The 25,679-nt window shown below is 44.5% G+C and overlaps 1 protein-coding gene across 8 annotated transcripts in view, besides 3 other annotated features; it reads left to right on the plus strand.

The window, feature by feature from the left end:
- UBE4B (ubiquitination factor E4B) overlaps nt 1–13,182 on the plus strand; it is a 148,282-nt gene extending 135,100 nt beyond the window's left edge. For 6 of the 8 annotated variants that reach the window (NM_001410744.1, NM_001105562.3, NM_006048.5 and 3 more), the window contains 5 exons: nt 79–213; nt 3,081–3,272; nt 10,587–10,761; nt 11,359–11,505; nt 11,838–13,182. In NM_001410744.1, the coding sequence (NP_001397673.1) occupies nt 79–213; nt 3,081–3,272; nt 10,587–10,761; nt 11,359–11,505; nt 11,838–11,899 (711 nt within the window). In that variant the 3' untranslated portion in view covers nt 11,900–13,182. The other 2 variants (XM_011540490.3, XM_011540489.4) reach the window with 2 other exon arrangements.
- Nucleotides 2,487–2,536: an enhancer, noted in NCBI's record as "active region_142". NCBI's record gives its function as "activates an Ori minimal core promoter by ATAC-STARR-seq in GM12878 lymphoblastoid cells {active_cell/tissue: GM12878}" and the evidence as "EXISTENCE:reporter gene assay evidence [ECO:0000049][PMID:35858748]".
- Nucleotides 5,447–5,526: an enhancer, noted in NCBI's record as "active region_143". NCBI's record gives its function as "activates an Ori minimal core promoter by ATAC-STARR-seq in GM12878 lymphoblastoid cells {active_cell/tissue: GM12878}" and the evidence as "EXISTENCE:reporter gene assay evidence [ECO:0000049][PMID:35858748]".
- Nucleotides 21,582–21,631: an enhancer, noted in NCBI's record as "active region_144". NCBI's record gives its function as "activates an Ori minimal core promoter by ATAC-STARR-seq in GM12878 lymphoblastoid cells {active_cell/tissue: GM12878}" and the evidence as "EXISTENCE:reporter gene assay evidence [ECO:0000049][PMID:35858748]".

Here is a 25,679-nt window from a genome sequence, read left to right on the forward strand (position 1 = left end):
TCCAGTTATGTGCTTGGCGCTTTGCTGAGCTGATGACCAGGACCGAGCCTTACTCAGCGTCTGTTCGATGTGTCCTAGGATCAGCAGCAGGCTCGTCAGTCTCAGCTTGCTCAGGATGAGCGTGTGTCCCGCTCTTACCTCGCCCTGGCCACCGAAACCGTGGACATGTTCCACATCCTCACGAAGCAGGTCCAGAAGCCCTTCCTCAGACCGGTGAGTAGAAACCCGGGGCTCTGTTTGGTGGTTTGGACTCCACATTCAGACTCTCTCACTTATAACTTTAGCAGTTGTTGAAGTTCTGGAAATTTTAGGATCACAGTCATCAATAAGTGAAATTCTGTGACTGATTTTGTTCCCAGTTATGCTAATTGATACCAGACTCTGTTGATGGACTGAAGAGCAGATGTCTGATGTCACCACATAGTCTACAGCCACTTCCAAATGCCTTACTGCACTTTGTGCTTAGACAGTACATTGGATTATTCATGTTGATGTCATGACATATTTTTACCATTATTGATTCCTATATTTTACTTATAGAAAAAGCATAAGGTGCCGGGTGCGGTGGCTCACGCCTGTAATCCCAGCACTTTGGGAGCCCAAGGCGGGCAGATCACGAGGTCAGGAGATGGAGACCATCCTGGCTAACACAGTGAAACCCCATCTCTACTAAAAGTACAAAAAATTAGCTGGGCGTGGTGGTGGGCACCTGTAGTCCCAGCTACTCAGGAGGCTGAGGCAGGAGAATGGCGTGAACCCGGGAGGCAGAGCTGGCAGTGAGCCGAGATGGTGCCACTGCACTCCAGCCTGGGCGACAGAGTGAGACTCCATCTCAAAAAAAAAAAAAAAAGAAGAAGAAAAAGCATAAGGTAACAGCTGTTGACAATGGAAGGATATTAAGTAGAATAATTGAGACCGTGTAAAATCTTTGGCTCTCTTAGCTGTACCTTTGTTACACTCAGGAAGCCAAAGGTTAATGGGAGCCGGCCATCACTAGGGTTTATGGTGGATTGCAAATAGTCAGAATGTTTGTTCTCAACTAGTAAGACCTGGTTCCTATTTCTAAAATTGAAACTGAGCAGCATCACTGAAGATTTCTGCCCTGCTTCAGCCACCCCCACCACAAAGTTGAAAAGTTTTATGGTGTGGCCAGGACAAGGGTAGTGAGGAAGGCAAGACGGGGACCTAAGATTCGGTAGCCATTTGCCTATGTGGAGACATGTTTACTTTACAATGGAATATGACGTTACTGCATATTTCCCCTGATTTTCTGTATTTGCTCTTACCTTCGTTATGTGACTCTCTGTTATGTGACTCCTGTCATCAGCAGAGGCACTATTGCCACTCCCTGGCCTGGGGACAACTCTTTTCCACTCTTTTAACTTTCCACCTCATGTCTCTTCATAAACAGATTTCAGTGCAAGAGCCATGGAACACGAAACAAAACAGCTCAGACACTGGCCTCCCTTAAAAGTTTGCAAAGTGCAAGGCCATGGAGCATGAAACAAAACAGCTCACTGGCCAGACACTGGCCTCCCTTCAAGGTTTGCAGAATTCTGTGAAGGCCAGATAGTAAATAGTTGATTAATTCCTTTGTAACAAGGTCAACACCCACCTATTTTGTACACTTGTTGGGAAGACTAAGCGAAAACACACATAGAAGTACCTGGCATAAGGCCAAGCACGGTGGCTCATGCCTGTAATCCCAGCACTTTGAGAGGCCAAGAAGGGTGGATCACCTGAGGTCAGGAGTTCCAGACCAGCCTGGCCAACATGGCGAAACCCCGTCTCTACTAAAAATACAAAAATTAGCCAGGCGTGGTAGTGCATGCCTGTAATCCCAGCTACTTGGGAAGCTGTGGCAGGAGAATCACTTGAACCCAAAAGGCAGAGGTCGCAGTGAGCCGAGATCACGCCACTCCAACCTGGGTAACAGAGCAAGACTCTTCTCAAAAATAAATAAATAAATTTATTTTAAGGCCTGCTCATAGACCTGAGCCATCTGTACACTGTAGCCCTGTTCTTTTGGCCCCAGCCTGTGCCTGTGCCTGCTGTGATGTTTTCATTTCCTTTGCTACACTATTTACTATCTGGCCTTTGCAGACAAAGTGTAAAGGCATTTCATTTTGCAAACCTTTAAGGTTTGCATTTTCACCTTCTTTACTGACTAGCTCAGATCTCTCCTACTTCAAACAGAATGACCAACTCTGTCCTGTTATGACTCTTTTATTTCACAGCTTCTCAACAGTGAAATACAGGAGTACTCTGTGCAAAAGCAAATTCTTGAAAAGCTAAGTATATGTTGAATTTGTATAAATCCAGTTATTACATTTCATGAAAACCTTGTGACTTAAAGGAATGCTTTCGTGACTCCCTTTTATGGCCAGTGTTTAATGCTCTCTAAGCCACATCTTCCTGTTTCAGGTTTGCTTAAAACCATGTATGCCCAACCGTAGTGGGTACTGAGTCACCTTGTGAGATTACAGCATAGATTATTACTATTTTCCAGGTGTTTCATTTAAGTTTACTCTGTCTCATTGACTAGATTTAAAACTATTCAAGGCATAACTTTTATCTTCTTTCCTTGCATTACTTTGTTATTTGTATCTGATAAGTACATAAGAATGACACAGACTGAACTGCCAGGGGCTTTTAACATTTATGGGGAAAAAAGTTTATGAAATACTGGCTGGAAGAGCTGACTCAAAACTTTTTTTGCTCAGATAATGGTAAGATTTGTATAATTTTCTCTCTTTTACTTGTTTCTCAATGAATTTGGAGTGATACTTTTTTTAATTAAAAGCATAAATGTAAAGAAAAGTTTGGCTTCTTTTGGTATTTATAAATAAATATTTCATCAGCCTGCAACATTCCATTAAGTATTAGAATTATCAGATCAGAAATGGGGAGTAAAGTTGAAATATAATGTTGTCTTTCTTCAGCTTATGATACACAGCACCTGTAAGGATTCTTTGAAGATTAATCCAACCAATTCCTGTTCCTCCACTGAAATGGGAGTTTTTGGTCCTTTTCACTTGTCTCAACAGCATGAATTGTCCTATTATCCTGTGATTTCCTAGGAGCTTGGACCCCGATTGGCTGCAATGCTGAACTTTAATCTTCAGCAACTTTGTGGCCCCAAGTGCCGTGACCTGAAAGTTGAAAACCCTGAGAAATACGGCTTTGAACCAAAGAAGCTGTTGGACCAACTGACGGATATTTACTTACAGCTGGACTGTGCTCGGTTCGCGAAAGCCATTGCTGACGACCAGGTCAGTGAGTTGAGTTGGTCTCTCTGTGAGTTTACTGGCAGATTTGGAGATAATAACCACAGTGGCCAGGGAACTCGTCTGGTGTAAATGAAGATGAGTGGGTTGTTTTCCTTTGAGTGTGAAGAGCAGATTTGGGCTGGGCGCGGTGGCTCAGGCCTGTAATCCCAACATTCTGGGAGGCCAAGGCAGGGGGATTGCTTGAGGCCAGACTGCAGTGAGCCGTGATTGCACCACCACACTCCAGAATGGGTGAGAGAGTGAGATCCTGTCTCAAAAACACGGTGGCTCACGCCTGTAATCCCAACACTTTGGGAGGTCGAGGCGGGCAGATCAAGAGGTCAGGAGTTTGAGACCAGCCTGGCTAACATGGTGAAACCCCATCTCTACTAAAGATACAAAAAATTACCTCAGTGTGGTGGTGCATGCCTGTAATCACAGCTACTCGGGAGGCTGAGGCAGGAGAATCGCTTGAACCCAGGAGGCAGAGGTTTCAGTGAGCTGAGATTGTGCCACTGCACTCCAGCCTGGGCAACAGGGTGAGACTCTGTCTCAAAATAAATAAATAAGTAAGTAAGTAAGTAAAAAACAAAAGTAAAGAGCAGGTTTGGCGCTCTGAGCCCTCTCCAGTTGAGTTCTTACCCCATCTTTTTAAGGGCCTTCTTGACAAATCCATTACATTTCTGAAAAGAGCCCGGTTTCTCAAGGGATCAGAATCTTCTTTCCTAGTCTCCTGCTAGAGTGCTGTTATTTTTGGGGTTGTCCAGATTAAAAATCTTGTGTGGTTTTCTTTACATTCTTCCCTCTCCTTTATTCCGTGGGTCTCCTGTGAGCAGATCTGTCTGTGTGTGCTTCATTTCCACAGCCACCGATTTAGGCTAAGCTGTCCCTGCGTGATCTTCTAGTCATCCCATAAAGGGCTGGCCCCCTCCATGGTCCGTTCTGCCTCATTTTCAACGTCCTCACAGCTAATGTTTATTAACTGTACACCTCATTTCACCCACTTTTCGTATCTCCACCCATTTAGTCCTCACAAAATCCTTTGAGGTAGGTTCTGTAAAGTCTTTGTTTTAAAGTGAGGAAAGAGGCACAGAGAGGTTAAATAGCTTGCTCGAGGTCACAGAGTTAGTGTGGGACAGAGGCATGATCCATGTCCAGGCAGCCTGGCCTTGAACCCATATCCTCAGTCTCTCTGCTGTCCACTTAAAATGCCCACAAAGAACCATGCTTGTCTCTGTGTCTCTGTCTTTGTTCACACTACTTATCCAAATACTATTCATGGCTCAAGTTAATCATCAGTAGGCATTCTAGAAGGTTCTTTACCCATATCTCATCCAAAGGAGTAATATTACAATAGAAGCATTGTAGGTACTTTTTTTTAATGACAGCTTTATTGAGCTATAACTCACATATGTAGGTGCTTTCTGATGTAGCAGGGGAAGTGGTCTTAACAAAGGATTTGCAGTGAAAAAATACATAGTCATGTGCTGTTTCTGTCGATGCTGGACCACAAAGACCATGTGGCCCCATCATATTATAATACCGTATTTTCACTGTACCTTTTCTGTGTTTAGAATACTCACCATTGTGTTACAACTGCCGACAGGATTCAGTACAGTCCCACACTGTACAGTTTTGTAGCCTAGGAGCAATAGGCTATACCATAGAGCCTCGACGTGGTGTAGGCCACGCCATCTAGGTTTGTGTAAGTAAATTCTATGATGTTTACACAGCAACGAAATTGCCTAACAAGACATTTCTCAGAGCGACACATGACTGTGTGTCTAAAGCAGTTTTATCATACAAAGTAGTGGCTCGTAAGAGGGTTAGGAAATTTTAGTTACTTGTAGATGTTAAAATATATACTGCTGGCCGAGCGCGGTGGCTCATGCCTGTAATCCCAGCACTTTGGGAGGCCGAGGCGGGTGGATCACAAGGTCAGGAGATCACGACCATCCTGGCTAACACGGTGAAACCCCGTCTCTACTAAAAAAAATACAAAAAAATTAGCCGGGCGTGGTGGCGGGCGCCTGTAGTCCCAGCTACTCGGGAGGCTGAGGCAGGAGAATGGCGTGAACCCAGGAGGCAGAGCTTGCAGTGAGCGGAGATCGAGCCACTGCACTCCAGCCTGGGCGACAGAGCAAGACTGTCTCAAAAAAAAAAAAAAATTATATATATATATACACACACACACACAAACACTGCTTTACTAGCCCCCGACTATATAATACTGCACTGATTTAGAAACAGAAAGCAAGTCATAGCCTGCAGTGAGGGAAAGAAAAGGGAAGCACTTACCCATTGAGGTGGGGTCCACACCTGACTGTAGCTGGCGTCTCCAGCCCAGCCAGAGGTCGGTGTGGAAAGCCCCAGGGCTCTTCCATCGTTGCCGTAGAGAGACTTGGAAGAGCTGTTTAGTGTGCGCCCTCTCCAGGGTGGTTGTGCTGTGGCTGCCACATCACAGGCGCTTAACGTAACACACAGAAGGTTTCGGTGTGGGTGGGCACAGCACGCCCAGTGAGGTGATGCAAAGCAACTGGGTGACAAAGGAATGCTTTGAGCGGCCTTTGTTTGGTGACCAACCACACATTGCATTGCCTGGTCATGCCTTAGATTATGGTGGTGGCCTCTGGTGGCACCTGGCTTGGGTTGTAGACAGCAGTTTCTGGCACAGTGACACACGGGGCTCCTTGAATGTCTAAATAGTCCTGTTCTTCCAGAGTGGTGAAACAAACACACATGTGCCAGTGACACATGGAGAGAAAAGCATATTTTAAGAAGTGTTGGGGCTGGGCGCAGTGGCTGACACCTGTAATCCCAGCACTTTGGGAGGCCAAGGTGGGTGGATCATGAGGTCAGGAGTTCGAGACCAGCCTGGCCAAGATGATGAAACCCCATCTCTACTAAAAATACAAAAATTAGCCGGGCACAGTGGAAGGCGGCTGTAATTCCAGCTACTCGGAGGCTGAGGCAGGAGAATAGCTTGAACCCGGGAGGCAGAGGTTGCAGTGAGCTGAGATCGCACCGCTGCATTCCAGCCTGGGTGACAGAGCAAGACTCCATATCAAAAAAAAAAAAAAGAAGAAGTATTGGGCTGGGTGCGGTGGCTCACACCTGTAATCCCAGCACTTTGGGGAGCCGAGGCGGGCAGATCACCTGAGGTCAGGAGTTTGAGACCAGCCTGGCTAACATGGTGAAACCCTGTTTCTACTAAAAATACAAAAAATTAGCCGGGCATGGTGGTGTGCGCCTGTAATCCCAGCTACTCGGGAGGCTGAGGCAGGAGAATCGCTTGAACCTGGGAGGTGGAGGTTGCAGTGAGCCGAGATCGTGCCATTGCACTCCAGCTTGGGCAACAAGAGCGAAACTCCGTCTCAAAAAAAAAAAAAAAAAAAAGTGTTTTTGCTTCCTTTCACAGTGTGGTGTGTGTGCTGATTGTTGGGTATTTTCTATTTATATTGGCCATAAGCTGATTAGGGGCCTGCTTACTTGATTGTTTTAGAAGAGAGCTTTGGTGGGGCAGGGGGCGGTAAGTGCAGAAGGATGGATGGTTGGCAAGCACTGGGGAAGAGGTTGTAAAATTGCATTTTCTTCTTTGGAAGCAGCAGTATCTTAGTTTGCTTTGGTATGTCTTAGTTTGGTTTGGTATGTCTTGTTTTCCGGGAAAGACAAAGGAAGAGGAAAATGACAGCTTTGCAGGTAAAGAAACTGAGAGGCTTCTCTCCCTCTATACCAAGAGTAGGCTGAAGACCCATGTCCAGAAGGCTGACAGAAAGGTGCCTGGGTGAAGAGCCACTGAGCTTGATGCTCAGGAATCTGAGGGCAGAGCTCCATGCCAGAGAAGTGGGATACCACATTGGTCCTGGGAGCCAAGAGGACCAGGATAGGGAGATGTTAAAGTGGCCTAGACTGTGTCTTTATGGGCAGACGCCAGTTCCATGGACAGACTGCATATCTGTCGTCCATGAAGCATTGTCTGTTAACACCATTTTCCATTAAAAAAGAAAAAAAATTCAGCACCTACTTAGAAAATAAAAAAAAATAGCCGGGTGCAGTGGCTCACGCCTGTAATCCCAGCACTTTGGGAGGCCAAGGCGGGCGGATCACAAGGTCAGGAGATCGAGACCGTCCTGGCTAACACGGTGAAACCCCATCTCTACTAAAAATACAAAAAATTAGCCAGGCGTGGTGGCGGGCGCCCGTAGACCCAGCTACTCGGGAGGCTGAGGCAGGAGAATGGCGTGAACCTGGGAGGTGGAGCTTGCAGTGAGCCGAGATCGCGCCACTGCACTCCAGCCTGGGCGACAGAGCGAGACTCCGTCTCAAATAAATAAATAAATAAATAAATAAAAAAGAAAATAAAAAAAATAAAAATCCCATCAGTCACACTTCCCCCATGCAGTCAGTCTTTCCTAAGTAATTGCTCCCTCCTCTAACCTACCAGAATATGAGTCTGCGTCTCACAAATGTAATGCTTCATTTTCTTGTTATTTTTTTCTTCTTTAATGAGGTAAGATTAATATATAACGTAGAAGTAACCATTTAAAAGTGTACCATTTTGTGGCATGTAGTACAGTCACAGCGTTGCACAGCCACCACCTCTACCTAGTTCCACTACATGTATCACCCCAAAAGGAAAACCCTTAAAGCAGTCGCTGTCTAGACCCCCTTGCCCCAGCCCCTGGCAACCACAAATCTGCTGTCTCTCTTTTCCTATTTTTGGATTTACCTATTCACCTCTCCGGGATATTTCATATAAACGGACTTATACAGTGTGTAACCTTCTATGTCTGGCTTCCTTCACTTAGCATCATGTTTCAAGGTTCATTTGTGTTGTAGAATGTATCAGTATTTCATTCCTTTTTAAGGCTGAATAATATTTCATTGTATGGATATACCACCATTTGTTTATCCTCATCCATTGATAGACATTTGGGTTGTCTCCAGCCTTTGGCTCTTGCAAATAGTGCTGCTATGAACATTTGTGTAAAAGTATTTAAACACCTGTTTTCAGTTACTTTGGGTCTACACTTGGGAGTGGGATTGTTGGTCATGTGGTAATTCCATGTTTAACTTTTTGAGGGATGCCAGAATGTTTTCTACAGCTGCCGCCCATTTGACATTCCCACTGGCAATGTATAAGGTTTAAGTTTCCATTCTTTTTCATTTTTTTTCTTTGGTTTAGTTTATATTCTTTCCATCATGAAGTTTAAAAATTAAACATGTTAATTTGTTTTTGTTTCTTAAATACTCATCCTAGTGGGAGTGACGTGGTATTTCATTGCGGTTTTGATTTGTATTTCCCTAATGTCAAATACCATTGGACACCTTTTCATGTGCTTGCTGGCCATTTTTATATTTTCTTGGGAGCAATGTCTATTCATGTTCTTTGCCCATTTTTTAATTGGGTTGTTTGTGTTTTTGTTGTTGAGTTGGAAGAGTTCTTTTTTTCTTTTTCTTTTTTTTTTTTTTTTTTTGAGATGGAGTCTCCCTCTGTTGCCCAGGCTGGAGTGCAGTGGTGCGATCTCAGCCTACTGCAACCTCCACCTCCCAGATTCAAGCAATTCTCTTGCCTCAGCCTCCCAAATAGCTGGGACTACAGGCGTGCACCATCACGCCTGGCTAATTTTTTTTGTATTTTTAGTAGAGACGGGGTTTCACCATGTTAGCCAGGATGGTCTCGATCTCCTGACCTCATGATCTGCCTGCCTTGGCCTCCCAAAGTGCTGGGATTACAGGCGTGAGCCACCGCGCCCAACCAGAAGAGTTCTTTATGTATTCTGGATGCTAGGTCATATCAGATGATACATGTATCATTGGATATATGATTTGCAGATATTCTTGTGTTAGTCCATTGCATCACTATACAGAAATACCCAAGGCTAGGTACTTTATGAAGAAAAGAGGTTTAGGCCGAGCACAGTGGCTCACGCCTGTAATCCCACCACTTTGGGAGGCCAAGGTGGGCAGATCACTTGAGGTCAGGAGATCGAGACCAGCCTGGCCAACATGGCAAAACCCTGTCTCTACTAAAAATACAAAAAAATTAGCCAGCCGTGGTGGCGCACACCTGAAATCCCAGCTACTCAGGAGGTGGAGGCTTCAGTGAGCCGAGAGCGTGCCTCTGCACTCCAGCCTGGGTGACAAAGCGAGACTCCGTCTCAAAAATTAAAATTAAAATTAACTGGGCATAGTGGCATGCACCTGTAGTCCCAGCTACTTGGGTGGCTAAGGTGAGAGGATTGCTTGAGCCCAGGAGTTTGAGGCTGCAGTGAGCCATGATTGCACCACTGCACTCCAGCCTGAGTGACAGAATGAGACTCTGTCTCAAAATATATATATATATTTATAGTAAAACATATATGGCAAAAACACTGGCCACTTGTTTTGCGATGGTGATACAAATACAAATATATATCATCACTAAGCAAGTGGCCAGTGTTTTTGCCATATATGTTTTACTATAAATACAAACTACAGCATACTTTACTGTTTGGCATGGCAGTGATTTTTATGAATTAGGCACCTGTGAGGTAGATGTTACTCTGCCCATTTTACACTCAAAGAACCTGGGCTTAGGAGGGTTCAGATTTGCCTACGACTGCACAGCTGGTAGGTGGTAGAGCCAGAATTCAAGTTCAGATTTGTCTGGGTCCACGGTGGGCGCCTGACCTCCACTCCACAACTTCCCTTCCTGGGGACATAAATCGTGTCTGTTCCCAGGCCTATTCATCAGTTCACCAGGGTGGTCTAACGTCCATGGAGCCCCTGACATGTGCTAGTGCTGAACTAAATGAGCTTGAAGAAGCTTGAAAGTGAACAGGAGAAGGCTCCTCTAGAGTATGAACAATAGTGGATTGTTTTTACCATGCTTACCTTTGTGGAAGAGAGCTGAAATTTTCACCTCTTCTTTCTTATAGGCTGCCAGGGCACAGTGCCCCCCAAGGACTGAAATAGACTAGATTTCCTTCTCTTTTTAATGTTTAAACTTTAAAAGAAATGCGTGCTAGCTGTAAAAATTCAAAAAAAAAGCCCGTCTGCCTCAGTCCTGCAGCCCTCTCCAGAGGGAGTGACCTCGTACAGTTTGGCACATATTATTCCAGTCTTTATCCATTTGTAAGCATAAAAAGTGCATACTTTTATGAGGCTATAAATGCATAAAGACGGATATATAAAATATATAAGTGTATATATAATTTTAGGGCTTTTTTAGTGGGGGAAAATCCACAAATGGATAATACTTTGGATATTTTCTGCAGCTCGCTTTTTTCCACCTGACGTACATTTACGTCTCACATTGCCATTCCTCCTTTGCAGAGATCCTACAGTAAGGAATTGTTTGAAGAAGTTATTTCAAAGATGCGGAAGGCAGGGATCAAATCCACAATAGCAATAGAAAAATTTAAGCTGCTCGCCGAGAAAGTGGAGGAGATAGTGGCCAAGAACGCACGCGCAGAAATCGACTACAGCGACGCTCCTGATGAGTTCAGAGGCAAGTGGACTCGTCGTTTTCATGCTGATTTCTTTTGAGTTAACTGGAAATCGATAACATTACAAGAGGACGTCCTGTGCAATTAATTTTTTAATGGTGTGCTAGAGCTGCTTTTTGAGACAATCTGTCTTAAATTACATTTGCCTATTTTTAGCTCATATTGTAAATTGAGAGGAAGAAACATCCTTAGCTTAGCCTGACTTAAAGCCAGATAACAACCCTGAAGATTCTAAGGGCAGGGCTGCCTTTGCAAGTGGGGATTCACATTTTCAAAGAATTCCCAGAAGTCCTAAGACAAAGAATTCCAGCCTGCCGTCCTCGCCACGGAGCCTGTGGGGCCTGCTGCTGGGTCTGTCCCAGGCTTTCTTCTCTGTTCCCTCCCCCCAGCAGTAGCTGACAAAGAAGCGCCTTCCCCTTACAAAAGGCAATGTATATGCCTTTATTGAAGGCTGATTTCCTTCTAAACCTGGGGGCCTCACAGGGGCCCTTTGATTGCTGTTCCTTTGGATAGATTTTTCGCTGGTAGAACGGGCTTTGTTTTCTTTTTCAGTCGTGGGCTCTCAGTAGATTAGAGTTTGCTTTGCTTTGTCCCCGCAGACCCTCTGATGGACACCCTCATGACAGACCCCGTGCGGCTGCCCTCTGGCACCATCATGGACCGCTCCATCATCCTGCGGCACCTGCTCAACTCCCCCACGGACCCCTTCAACCGGCAGACGCTGACAGAGAGCATGCTGGAACCAGGTAGAGGAGGGTGCAGTTTGAGGTGCAGCGCTGGCGTCAGTACCAAGAGATAAAGCCCAAGTCACATATTGGAGATGAAGCAGAAGGGAAATTTATCAAATGCAGAAACTACCTACTTTATGACACTCTGTAGCAAAGACCCAAAACACTCTTGGCCCTTTTTCCCTGCAGACATCCAGTCCCTCCCTCTCATGTCCCAGTCCTTCTGGAGTCTTCGGCTCAATGAGGGAAAGAATGGCCTTTTCTTCCCATTTATACAGAGCGACAAGCATCCTCTCTCAGGAAGAGCCCTCCCATCTGGGGCATTAATCCTCCTTTTTTTCTTTTCTCAGTGCCAGAACTGAAAGAGCAGATTCAGGCGTGGATGAGAGAGAAACAGAACAGCGATCACTAAACCGTTCCGCCGCCCACCCTCTGCTAGACACAGCCAAGGCCAACGAGGCAAGCAGAAGCAGCGGCCGCAGCGAAGCTGCCGTTCATGTGTTGGAGGCCAAATGTGGCAAACCAACCCCAGGCCCACCCAGAGCGAGCAAACGCTGAGACCTGAAAGGACATGGATGAGAAGAGGAGCCCGCTTCCTGTACATATATTTAAGTGACAAACACGGTCAAAAGCTTAAGGGACAGGTTTTATGGTTGCTTGTGTAATAAAGCATGTCCTTCGTATGTCACAGTTTGGGGCAACGGAAGTCTTTTAGTGATGGCTAATGGGTCTGGGCAGCATCCCTTCATGAATTTTTTTTTAATCCAATATCCGTTGATTTGATTGTGATTAGAGAACCTTGGACATTTTGCTGCTAAAGAATCTTTTTTCCCCTCTCCCCCTTCCTGACCCTACTTGCACTGCTGTGGATTTTTTTAAGAGAAGCAAAAACAAAAGTAAACTCCTTTCCCTGGCCCTCCAAACATATATTCTGTGAGATAACTGTGCCTGCTACCAAGTGTTAATCCTGGGATCGTATTTTTATATCATATTCACATATTTGTTTTTTTAATTGGTGTTAGATGACATGATTAATAAAAAAGGCAAGATATTTTCAGAATTTGAATTTCAGTTTTTTTTTTCTTTTGAAATGTCCCTTTAAGATTTTTTTATTCTAAACAAAATAAAGAAAATCCTGCTGCTCTGGTCCTTGTGATAAGCCTCTCTTCGGCATCTGAGGAGCAGCTGCAGCAAAATCTAGGGGTGTAAGTGTATCAGGACTTATGTGACTTATATTTTGGGGAGATGAGGGTTGGGTTTTTTTTTTAATGCTACGTGACAGTTTGAAACCTTCACAGTTATCCTCTGGGGGTAAATCAATTCTTCAACCCTTGGGTGTGTGAGTTTGAGGCAGGGTCATTTGTGTGATGTGTTTGGCCTTACCAAAGCAAAAGAGGGTGCAAGAATGTGGGAGTATGTCTGCCGGTTTCAACACACACAGACAAACACAGCCACACGCGCACACAAGTATAAGACTTTTTGTATTACTGCTCCCTACTTAACATACTTGAATTCTCAAATTTCCTTTGGGGTAAAAAAAAAAAAAGGATTTGAAACCATAAAGTGTTCTGAAGAAATTAAGTCTATAAAAAGCATACTTTCTTTTTTCTTTTCCTTTTTTCCCTCCACAGACAATGTCCTCTGTTCAATTCCTAACGCAAACTACAATAAATGGTGACACACGTTCAGAAGAAATCTTCTTTGAGTCTCTTCTCTTTTGTGGAAAAAAAAAAAGGGCAGGGCGGGTGGGTAAACAAGAGCCAAGTGAGTTTGCATGTGGTGAATGATCTTTCCTGGATCCAATTAGGAGCTGCTATTTTTAAAAGAAAACTTTCTTATTCATGTCAGTCTCGACATTTGGTTCTCATTTCACTGTTTGCTGATTTGAGGGGGTAAGCTTTGTCATATTCAGTCTTCTGCCTTTCTTGAGTTTCTTCTGCTTTATCTCAAGTATCTTCCCTGACCTTCAAGATTCTTCCTCAGGCCGGGCCCGGTGGCTCACGCCTGTAATCCCAGCACTTTGGGAGGCTGAGGCGGATGGATCACCTGACGTCAGGAATTCGAGACCAGCCTGGCCAGCATGGTGAAACCCCATCTCTACTAAAAATACAAAAAATTAGCCGGGCGTAGTGGCAGCGCCTGTAGTCCCAGCTACTCGGGAGGCTGAGACAGGAGAATTGCTTGAACCTGGGAGGTGGAGGTTGCAGTGAGCCGAGATGACGTCATCACACTCCAGCCTGGGTGACAGCGAGACTCCGTCTCAAAAAAGAAAAAATATATATTTATATATATTTACATATATATTTATTTATATATATTTATATATATATATATAACATGGCCAGGTGCGGTGGCTCACGCCTGTAATCCCAGCACTTTGGGAGGCCAAGGCAGGTGTATCGTCTGAGGTCAGGAGTTCTAGACCAGCCTGGCCAACATGGTGAAACCCCATCTCAACTGAAAATACAAAAATTAGCTGGGCGTGGTGGTGGGTGCCTATAATCCCAGCTACTCGGGGGGCCGAGGCAGGAGAATTGCTTGAACCCAGGAGGTGGAGGTTGCAGTGAGCTGAGATCGCGCCATCGCACTCCAGCCTAGGGGACAAGAGTGAGACTTCGTCTCAAAAAATAGATAGATAGATAGACACAATAAATAAGGAAAAAGTTCATGATAGCAAAAATTTTAGGCAATATAAGCAAAAAGAAAAAAAATCCATATTCTCACCATGCAGAAGATTCTGTTTAATTGGGTTTACTTTTTACTAAACTTACATATCTAAGCTTAGTGCCTGTAGAATTAGGATACTGACTGGCATCTTGCCTAATTTTGTTTGTGTGGTTATCTGACCAGTGTGTACTGCTTGTCTCCTCTCCATCCCAGATTCCAAACTCTTATTTTAATCCTCCAGTTGTCCCCGTGAATGTAATAAAATGCTGCTTTATACCGCCATATGCACTTGTCGTTTTGAATAATTCAGAGGTTTCAAGGACCTGCCGGATAGGACAGAGACACAGTCAGTCTCCTGCCTGTACTATCTATAGGGGGAAGATGATTTGGGTTTCCATTTTTAGAGTCTCAAGAGTTGCTGTTTTGTGTTTGTCTGCAGTCTCTTAATTGTGGATATTGAAATAAATCCCAAAATATATTAAAAGTAGGTCTTGGCTAAAAGGAAGATTGTCAAATAAGAGAATCAGATTGGCAGAAGAGAAATGATCCTTGAGAGAAAGATGATTAAAATCTGCCTTGTGTTGTGACTCAGTGTTGTGTAGATTTTAAAAAGATATTGATTGAATATCTTTTGAAAAAAAAGCTGAGCACACCGTTCACTTTTTGTAACCTCTGGGTTTGGTACATCGAGTAGTGAATTTCACAGCAATTTGATTGGAGTGCTAAAGTGACATGAATAGGCCTCATTTGAGTAGGTACTTTTTTTTGTTTTTTGGTTTTTTTCAGACGGAGTCTCGCTCCGTCACCCAGGCTGGAGTGCAGTGGCGCAATTTTGGCTCATTGCAACCTCCACCTTCCAGGTTCAAGTGATTCTCCTGCCTTAGCCTCCCGAGTAGCTGGGACTAGAGCACATGCCACCATGTCCAGCTAATTTTTTTTTTTTTTTTTTTTTTTTTTTAGTAGAGATGGGGTTTCACCATGTTGGCCAGGCTGGTCTTGAACTCCAGACCTCAAGTGATCCACCTGCCTCAGCCTCCCGAAGTGCTGGGATTACAGGCATGAGCCACCACACCAGGCCTCAAGGTACGTTTTTGATTGAAGGAGACACAGTAGCCTATGAGCTTGATGCTGGTGTCAGATAGTGTTGGTGAAGAAAGTCATTCTGAATTGGTGATGATCATTTGCATTTCATGAGCATATTCTATGTGCAAGCCACTCTTACATGTATTAATTTTTTTTTTTTTTTTGAGACAGAGTCTCGCTCTGTCGCCCAGGCTGGAGTGCAGTGGCGCGATCTCGGCTCACTGCAAGCTCCGCCTCCCAAGTTCACGCCATTCTCCTGCCTCAGCCTCCCGAGTAGCTGGGACTACAGGTGTCCGCCACCATGCCCAGCTAATTTTTTGTATTTTTAGTAGAGACAGGGTTTCACCGTGTTAGCCAGGGTGGTCTCGATCTCCTGACCTCGTGATCCACCTGCCTTGGCCTCCCAAAGTGCTGGGATTACAGACAAGAGCCACCGCACCCGGCCACATATATTAATTAATTTAACCCTCCACAACCATAATGTAGTGGAACTGGCACATGAATCTAGGCCATCTGGCCTTTCCAGCCTCATCTCTTCCCGACTCCTGCTGTATGGCAGAGTTCCAGAATGCTAGAAGTTCAGAATAGCTCAGAATGCCCAAGGAGAAGCAGCATAGCATTTTGGAAGGGACTTTGGCCTTGAGATCAGCTCTAGACCTAACCCCCATTTTAAACAATTAGATAACTTCAATATCACAGCTTTCATTCGTTACTAGCCACTCACGTTGACCCCAGATGTATATCTCAAACCTCCACTTCTCTCCTGTACTGTACACACTGGCCATCTCAGATGACTAAAAGGTCCTCAGACTTAACATATCCCAACCTGAACTCTGTACATTTCACCCCACGCCCGCTCCTCTTAGTCTCCTCATCACAGTAAATGACAACTCCATCCTTCCAAGTCGCTCAGGCCACAAACCTTCGAGTCATCCTTGACTCCGCTGTTGTGCTCTCCTCCTATGTCCAATCTGTCCACAAATCTCTCTGCTCAGCTGGGTGCAGTGGCTCACGCCTGCAATCCTAGCACTTTGGGAGACCAAGGTGGGTGGATCACCTGAGGGCAGGAGTTCGAGACCAGCCTGGCCAACATGGTGAAACCCCGTCTCTACTAAAAATACAAAAATTAGCTGGGCATGGTGGCGGGCTTCTGTAATCCCAGCTGCTTGGGAGGCTGAGGCACAAGAATCACTTGAACCCGGGAGGCGGAGGTTGCAGTGAGCTGAGATCGGGCCACTGTACTCCAGCCTGGGCTACAAAGTGAGACTCTGTCTAAACAAACAAAAAAATCCCTCTGTTCTACCTACAAAATGTATCCCAGAACTCGACGACTACTCCCCAGGTCCCCTCCTGTCACTTTGGTTTGAGTTGCTGCTGCTGGCTCTCTCCTGGATTATTCCAACAGCATCACTGGTCCTCCTGCCTCTCCCCTTAACCTCCTTTCTCAGAAAAGCAGGTAGGATGATCTTGTTAAAACTTTGGCTGGGCGTGGTGGCTCACACCTGTAATCCCAGCACTTTGGGAGGCTGAGGTGGGCGGATCACCTGAGGTCAAGAGTTTGAGACCAGCCTGGCCAACATGGTGAAACCCCGTCTCTATTAAAAATACAAAAATCAGCTGGATGTGGTGGTGTACGCCTATAATCCCAGCTACTCAGAAGGCTGAGGCAAGAGAATCGCTTGAACCCAGGAGGCGGAGATTGCAGTGAGCCAAGATTGTGCCACTGTACTCCAGCCTGGGTGACAGAGTGACACTCTGTCTCAAAAAAAAAAAAAAAAAAAACCAAAAAAAAAACAACTATAGCTAGGCGTGGTGGCATGCACCTGTGGACCCAGCTACTCAGGGGCTTTGGCAGGAGGATTGCTTGAGTCCAGGAAGTTGAGGCTGCAGTGAGCCGAGATTACACCACTGTACTCCAACCTGGGTGACAAAGTGGGGACCCTATCTCAAGAAAAAGATGCTGGGTGCGGTGACTCACGCCTGTAATCCCAACACTTTGGGAGGCCGAGATGGGCAGATCACGTGAGGTCAGGAGTTCGAGACCAGCCTGGTCAACATGGTGAAACCCAGTCTCTACTAAAAATACAAAATTAGCCAAGCATGGTGATGCGTGCCTGTACAAGTCCCAGCTACTTGGGAGGCTGAGGCAGAATTGCTTGAACCTGGGAGGCAGAGGTTGCAGTGACCCGAGATTGTGTGCCATTGAACTTCAGCGTGGGCAAAAAAAGAGCAAAAATTGCGTCTCAAAAAAAAAAAAAAGAAAAAAGAAAGAAAGGGGCTGGAAAAAAAACCCTAAAGCCAGGTGTGGTGTTGCACGCCTGTAGTCCCAGCACTTCCAGAGATCGAGGTGGGAGGATCGCCTGAGCCCAGAAATTCAAGGCTGCTGGAGCAGAAGCTCCAGCAAATGCAAGGGGCTATGATCTAGCCACCACACTCCAGCCTGGGTGACAGACTGAGACTCCATCTCAAAAAAAAAAAAAAAAGAAAGAAAGAAATCCTTACAATAACCTGGAAGGCAAAACGCTCACCTCGCATTCTCTCTGATCTCATCTCCTACAACACTCCCCTTACTCCAAAAACTCAGCCATTCTGGCCTCATTGCTCTCCACCCCTGCTAGGGCACTAGACTACTTCCTCTATGAAGAATCCTCTTCCCACAGATATACATATGGGTCAGTCACTCCCTTATTTGCTTTAGATCTTTACTCAAATATCACCTTGGTGAGTCCTTCCCTGTCCACCCTATTTAAAAATGTAATTTATTCACCTAACCTTGGTATCCCTTGCTATTCCCTTTCTTTGCATTTTCTCCTTGGCATTTATCACTATCTAACATGCTATATCTATTATGTACTTTACAGTCCACTTCCCCCCACTAGAATGTAAGCCCGGGGTGGGGGGGGGCAGAGATTTTTTTCTGTATCCTTGGCACCTATAAGTGTGCCTGGCAAATATATGTGTTGAATGAATTAATCTCTTCATATATTTGTTACTCTAGTTGTATCAGTTATTTATTGCTGCATAACAAAATCACCCCAAAATGGAGTGGCTTGGTTCAATAACAGTGATTTTATCCCCCACAGTTCTGGAAGATCCAAGAGCAAGCTTCCAAGAGGACCAGACAGAAGCTGTGTATTGCCCTTTTACAGCCTAGGCTTGGAAGTCACATAGTGTCACTTCAGCAGCAGTCACAAGCCTGCCTGGATTGAAGGGGAAGAAATGCAGAACCCGCCTCATGCTGGGAGGGAGGTCAACGTCACTCTGTGAGAAGAGCTTCTGGGATGGGAGACGTCGTTCTGACCATCTTGCAAATAACATTTGCCACGTTCCTCCTCTGGCAACAATTTACATTCTTCATATCTGCAAAATGATGCCTTATTTCCTTCCCGTGAGATTCCCAAACCGCATCCCATCAGGGCATCCGCTTCAAGTCCAGCATCTCATCATTGAAATCAAGTCCAGCTGCAGATGAGGCTTCTCAGATGGGATTCTTTGAACGTAGTTCCTTGAGTGTTAATCTTACGGATTTAAAGATCTGTTAATGAAAGATACAAGTTACCTACACACACATGCACACACACACACACCACGTGCACACATACACCACACACCACATAGACACACACGTGCACACACACACCACATGCACACACAACATGTGCACACACACCATGCATGCAATGATGGGACAGGCATGGGAAAACCATTCTGGATGATCCTGTTCAAAAAGGTGGAAAATGGTACCCCACAGGAGTCACTGGTCCATAGTATTAATAATTCTGAGATCCAACCAGGCATATGTCACCAGTTCCTTGTTCAGGGCTCAGTCCTACAGCCCAGGAATTGTTCACCAAGCCTCTCAGCTCCACCCTCTTGGCTCTTTTTGTCCTCTGAATCTTTTCTTCCTTTTCCATAAAACAAAAAACAAAAACTGAGCTTGCAATTAAGCCTTCTCAGTACATTTCCTGCTTATTAAAAAAATATATACATATGTTGCAGTAACGCCGGGTGCGGTGGCTCACGCCTATAATCCCAGCACTTTGGGAGGCCGAGGTGGGTGGATCACAAAGTCAGGAGTTCAAGAGCAGCCTAGCCAAGATGGTAAAACCCCCGTTTCTACTAAAAATATAAAAAATTAGCCAGGTGTGGTGGTAGGCACCTGTAATCCCAGCTACTCAGGAGGGTGAGGCAGAGAATTGCTTGAACCTGGGAGGCGGAGGTTGCAGTGAGCTGAGATGGAGCCACTGCACTCCAGACTGGGTGACAGAGCAAGACTCCATCTCAAAAAAAATATATATATAATATAATATTATATAATATTATATATTATAATAATATATATAATATATATTATATAATAATATATAATATATATTATATTATAATATATAATATATTATATAATAATATATATTATATAATATATAATAATATATATAATACATATTATTTAATAATATATAATATATATTATATAATAATATATAATATATATTATATAATAATATACATTATATTATATAATATATAATATATATAATATATATTATATAATAATATATAATATATATTATAGAATGATATATTAGATATTATATAATTATATATATAATATTATATATTATATAATAATATATAATATATATTATATAATTATATATATAATATTATATATTATATAATTATATATAATATATTATATAATTATATATATAATATTATATATTATATAATTATATATAATATATATTATATAATTATATATATAATACTATATATTATATAATTATATATAATACTATATATTATATAATTTATATAATTATATATATTATATATTATATAATTATATATATTATATATTATATAATAACATATATATTATATATTATATAATAACATATATATTATATATTATATAATACATATATATTATATATTATATAATACATTATTATATAATATATAATATATATTATATAATGCATTATTATATAATAAATATTATAATATTATATATATATAGGGGTTTAAAAGTCTCTTTTGATGTTGTACTTTCTCTGTCCTGTCCCTTTTCATTTAAGCTGGAGGCAGTTTGACCAGACCAATTACCTTAAAATGTTGTGGGTTTTCTATGAATCTTGCTGGAGTTTGCTCTGTTAGGCAAAAGCCGCAGCTACAAGTCTCTTCTGGATAAACTTTTCTCTATTTTGGATTACTTGTGTAACTCTTAAATCTTTCTGAGGTCTTAATAAAGGATTCTGAAGTCAGGCTTTTTTTTTTTTTTTTTTTGAGACTGAGTCTCACTCTGTCACCAGGCTGGAGTGCAGTGGCGTGATCTCAGCTCACTGCAACCTCCGCCTCCCAGGTTCAAGTGATTCTCTTGCCTCAGCCTCCCGAGAAGCTGGGACTACAGGTATGAGCCACCACTCCCAGCTAATTTTTGTATTTTTAGTAGAGACGGGGTTTCACCATGTAGGCCAGACTGGTCTCGAACTGCTGACCTCAGGTGATCCCCCTGCCTCAGGCTCCCAAAGTCCTGAGATTACAGGCGTGAGCCACCGCACCCGGCCTGCGGTCACATTTTTTACCCCATCTTTAGATATCGTCCCGAAAGTGCACTGTTTTTGATTTCTGACCAGAAGCCATTTCTTAATTTTTTAAATTTTTTTTTTTTTTTGCCAGTTCATCTCACATTTTTCTACAGGCAATGAAAGAAGCCAAATGGTATTTCATTATTCTGCCTTCACATCTCCTGACATAGATCATTGAGTTCACTTGGCAGATTTTCTCCTTTCCAAGTCACCGCAGACAACGGTGTTGACAAAATCTCCACCTCTAAGTAACAGAGGTCCCCTTTCCTGCAGTTTCCAACAGTATTTACTCACTTTCCTATAAGCCTCACTAACGGTGTTCTCAATACATTTTTATCCTCTGCCTACTAACTCCATCCCAAAGCCAATGCCACATGCATTATACTTTGTTTCAACAGCACCCACTTCCAAAGACCTAAATCTTAATCGCCCAAATCTAGTGGCTTAAAACAGAATCTATTAATATCTATCATGGGCTGGGTGCAGTGGCTCACCCCTATAATCCCAGCACTTTGCTTTGGGAGGCCGAGGCGGGCAGATCACCTGAGGTCAGGTGTTCAAGACCAGCCTGGCCAACATGGTAAAACCCCGTTTCTACAAAAAGTACAAAAATTAGCCAGGCATGATGGTGGGTGCCTGTAACCCCAGCTACTTGGGAGGCTGAGGCGGGAGAATCGCTTAAACCCAGGAGGCAGAGGTTGCAGTGAGCCGAGATCACACCACTGCACTCCAGCCTGGGCGACAGACTCCGTCTCAAAAAAAAAAAGAAATTGTTAATGTCTATCATGGTTTTGGGGTTGACTGAGCTCACTGGGCTGTTCTCACTCAGGGATCTTACACTGTTACCGTCAGATGGTGGCTGAGGCTAGAGTCACCCTTAGGGCTTCCTCACTCACATCTGGCTGTTGGCTGGCACACCCAGGTGTGCCCTCTCTGGAGCTAGGTTCCGAGAGCTAGCACCCTGAGAAGACCAGGCAGAAGCTGGGTTTCTATGGCCCAGCAGCCCAGAGGTCTTATGGTATCACTTCTGCTGTGGCCACAGGCATGCTCGGTTTCCAGGAGAGGAAACACAGACCCCACCTCTCAGTAGGGAGGAGTCTCAATGCCATGTTTCAAGAATAGCACGGAGGACTGGAGGTCTTGTTGCAGCTGTCTTAGAAACTAGAACTAGCCACACAGGTTTCTCCCTTTGTAAACTATCTATCCTTCTGTATGTGCTTTTCTGCCCTTTCTCTCGTGTTTTTTAGGTTTTTGTTTGTATTATTCTAGAACTTACTTCCTAGTCAGTTTTATTTTAATTATTTTATTTATTTATTTATTTATTTATTTATTTAGAGACAGGGTCTCACTCTGTTGCCCAGGCTGGAGTGCAGTGGCATGATCACAGATCACTGCAGCCTCAACTTCCCAGGCTCCAGCGATCCTCCCACCTCAGCCTCCTGAGTAGCTGGCACTACAGGTGTGCACCACCACGCCTGGCTAATTTTTTGTATTTTTTGTGGAGATGGAGTTTCACTATGTTGCCCACTCTGGTCTCAAACTCCTGGGCTCAAGCAATCCTCCTGCCTCGGCCTCCCAAAGTGCTAGGATTATAGGTGTGAGCCCTTGTGCCTGGCCCACCTTTTCTTTGTTTTGTTGTTGTTGTTGTTTGTTTGTTTGTTTTGTTGTTGTTTATCTTTGGGCCCCATCTTTTTATTATAAAGTGTAACACCTGGCTGGGAGCAGTGGCTCACACCTGTAATCCTAGCACTTTCAGAGGCCGAAGCAGGCAGATCACGAGGTCAAGTGATCGAGACCATCCTGGCCAACATGGTGAAACCCCATCTCTACTAAAAATACAAAAATTAGCTGGGCATGGTGGCGTGCGCCTGTAGTCCCAGCTACTCAGGAGGCTGAGGCAGGAGAATCGCTTGAACCCAGGAGGCGGAGGTTGCAGTGAGCTGAGATCGCGCCATTGCACTCCAGCCTGGTGATAGAGCAAGACTCCATCTCAAATAATAATAATTATAATAATAATAATAATAAATAAAGTATAACACCTATGTTAGGCCATTCTCGCATTGCTATAAAGCAAGCTTGTCCAACCTGGGGCCCGTGGGCTGCAGGCAGCCCAGGACAGCTCTGAATGTGGCCCAGCGTAAATTCATGAACTTCCTTAAAACATTATGAGATTTTTTTTGCGATTTTTTTTTTTTTTTTTAGCTCATCAGCTATCGTTAGTGTTAGTGTATTTTATGTGTGGCCCAAGACAATTCTTCTTCTTCCAATGTGGTCCAGGAAAGCCAAAAGATTGGACACCTCTGCAGTGTAAAGGAATATATGAGGCTGGGTGATTTATAAAGAAAAGAGATTGAATTGGCTCATGGTTCTGCAGGCTGTACAAGGGTGGCACCGGTGTCTGCTTGGTGTTTGGGGAGCCCTCGGGGAGCTTTTACTCATGGTGGGAGGTAAAGGGGGAGCAGACACTTCACAGAGAAACAGCAGGAGCAAGGTGCGGAGAGGCGCCACTTACTCTTAAAACAACCAGATCTGGTAAGAACTCACTCACTATCACAAGTAGAGATGGCACCAAGCCACGAGGGATCCCTCCATGGCCCAAACACCTCCCACCAAGCCTCACCTCCAACACTGGAGATTACATTTCAATATGAGGTTTCGGCAGGGACAAATATCCAAGCTATTTCAACACTTAGTCAGCAAAATGAATGAAACATAGATGTACAATTCGGTAAATTATTATATGTGAGGCACAGTGGCTCATGCCTGTAATCCCAGCACTTTGGGAGGCAGAGGCAGGCGGATCACATGAGGGCAGGAGTTCGAGACCAGCCTGGCCAACATGGTTAAACCCCGTCTCTACTAAAAACACAAAAATTTGCAGGGTGTGGTGGTGCACGCCTGTAATCCTAGCTACTCCAGAGGCTGAGGCAAGAGAATTGCTTGAACTTGGGAAGTGGAGGTTGCAGTGAGCTGAGATTGCGCCATTGCACTCCAGCCTGGGTGACAGAGTAAGACTCTGTCACCCAGGCTGGGTGTGGTGGCTCATGCCTGTAATCTCAGCACTTTGGGAGGCCAGGGCGGGTGGATCACAAGGTCAGGAGATCGAGACCATCCTGGCTAACATGGTGAAACCCCGTCTCTACTAAAATTACAAAAAATTAGCCGGGCGTAGTGGCAGGCGCCTGTAGTCCCAGCTACTCGGGAGGCTGAGGTAGGAGAATGGCGTGAACCCGGGAGGCGAAGCTTACAGGGAACCGAGATAGCGCCACTGCATTCCAGCCTGGGTGAAAGAGCAAAACTCCGTATCAAAAAAAAAAAAAAAAGGCTTATTCTATTACTTGTTACTAATAGCATCTCTTATCTCTTTGAAGATATTTATTATGCTTATTTAAAACTTCTGTTGTGTCCAGTCCATTCATTCTGCTTCCCCTGATATAAACTGCTCAGTTTATTGTCTCCAATTTCTGGCCATTTGCTCCTCAGATGTCTGGTTATTTTCCTGGGGCTGCTAATCCCCTGGGTGTTACAACCCACCTGGATGGCAACAGCAGTGTGTACTGAGCAAGGTCAAGGCTCAGGCCCTAAGCTGTGCCCTCCTGGTGAGCGTGTGTGTGGACACGCCTGGTGAGCTGGAGGTGGACAGAGTTTGTGGCATTAAATTGTAGGCCATAATTCCCCATGTGCCGTCCCCACACGTCACCCTGCCGTTCAAGAAACCTTCCTGTGTCTCTCCTCCAGCACTGCTCTTTTCCAAGAGTCTTTTACATTTATTTTGTTTTATTTTATTTATTTTTGAGACAGCGTCTCACTCTGTTGCCCAGGCTGGTGTGCAGTGGCACAATCACGGTTCACTGCAGCCTTGACCTCTAGAGCTCAAGTGATCTTCCCACTTCAGCCCCCTGAGTAGCTGGGACCACAGACACACGCCATCATGCCTAGCTAATTTTTTTTTTTTTTTGAGACAGTCTTGCTCTGTCTCACCCAGGCTGGAATGCAATGGTGCAATCTCAGCTCACTGCATCCTCCACCTCCCGGGTTCAAGTGATTCTCCTGTCTCAGCCTCCCGAGTAGCTGGGACTACAGGCTTGTGCCACCACACTCAACTAATTTTGTATTTTTAGTAGGGATGGGGTTTCACCATGTTGGCCAGGCTGGTCTTGAACTCCTGACCTCAGGTGATCCACCCTTCTTGGCCTTCCAAAGTGCTGGGATTACAGGCGTAAGCCACCGTGCCCGGCCTCATTTTTGTATTTTTTTGTAGAGACAGGGTTTCACTACGTTGCCCAGGCTAGTCTCCAACTCCTGGACTCAAGTGATTTTCCCGCCTTGGCCTCCCAAAGTGCTGGGTTTACAGGTGTGAGCCACCACTCCTGGCCTTACATTTGTTTTAATCAGCTGGTCCTTAGGGAATGGAGAGAAGGGGGACACTTTGCGTCAGCCTATCTATTGATGTCAGCCATCTCTCCGCTCCTGTCAACACAGTCAGACATCTGTGCCTCCCTGGAACTCCTCCTGCACCCTGGGTTGCTTTTGACAGGTGCAGGATTATAGGGTGATGGGGGCAGGCAGAAGACACGTCCGCCTCTCCCAGCTTCCCTTCCGCCCAGAGCTGCACCCATTCTTTTCCAAGCTGCCACCACCTCCTCTCCCAGAACCCAAATGCCTCTTTCTCCTCAGGATCTCTCAGTCTCTATGTGGTTTCTCAGTTCCATCTGCTTCCTTCTCTGTTCTGGCCTCTCCACTTCAGTGGTGTAGATTACAACTCCATCTGGCCGGGCTTAGAGGCTCATGCCTATAATCCCCACCACTTTGGGAGGCTGAGGTGGGTAGATCACTTGAGGTCAGGAG

Source organism: Homo sapiens, chromosome 1 (genome assembly GCF_000001405.40).
Source record: "Homo sapiens chromosome 1, GRCh38.p14 Primary Assembly".
In the NCBI taxonomy this organism is placed as follows: domain Eukaryota; kingdom Metazoa; phylum Chordata; class Mammalia; order Primates; family Hominidae; genus Homo; species Homo sapiens.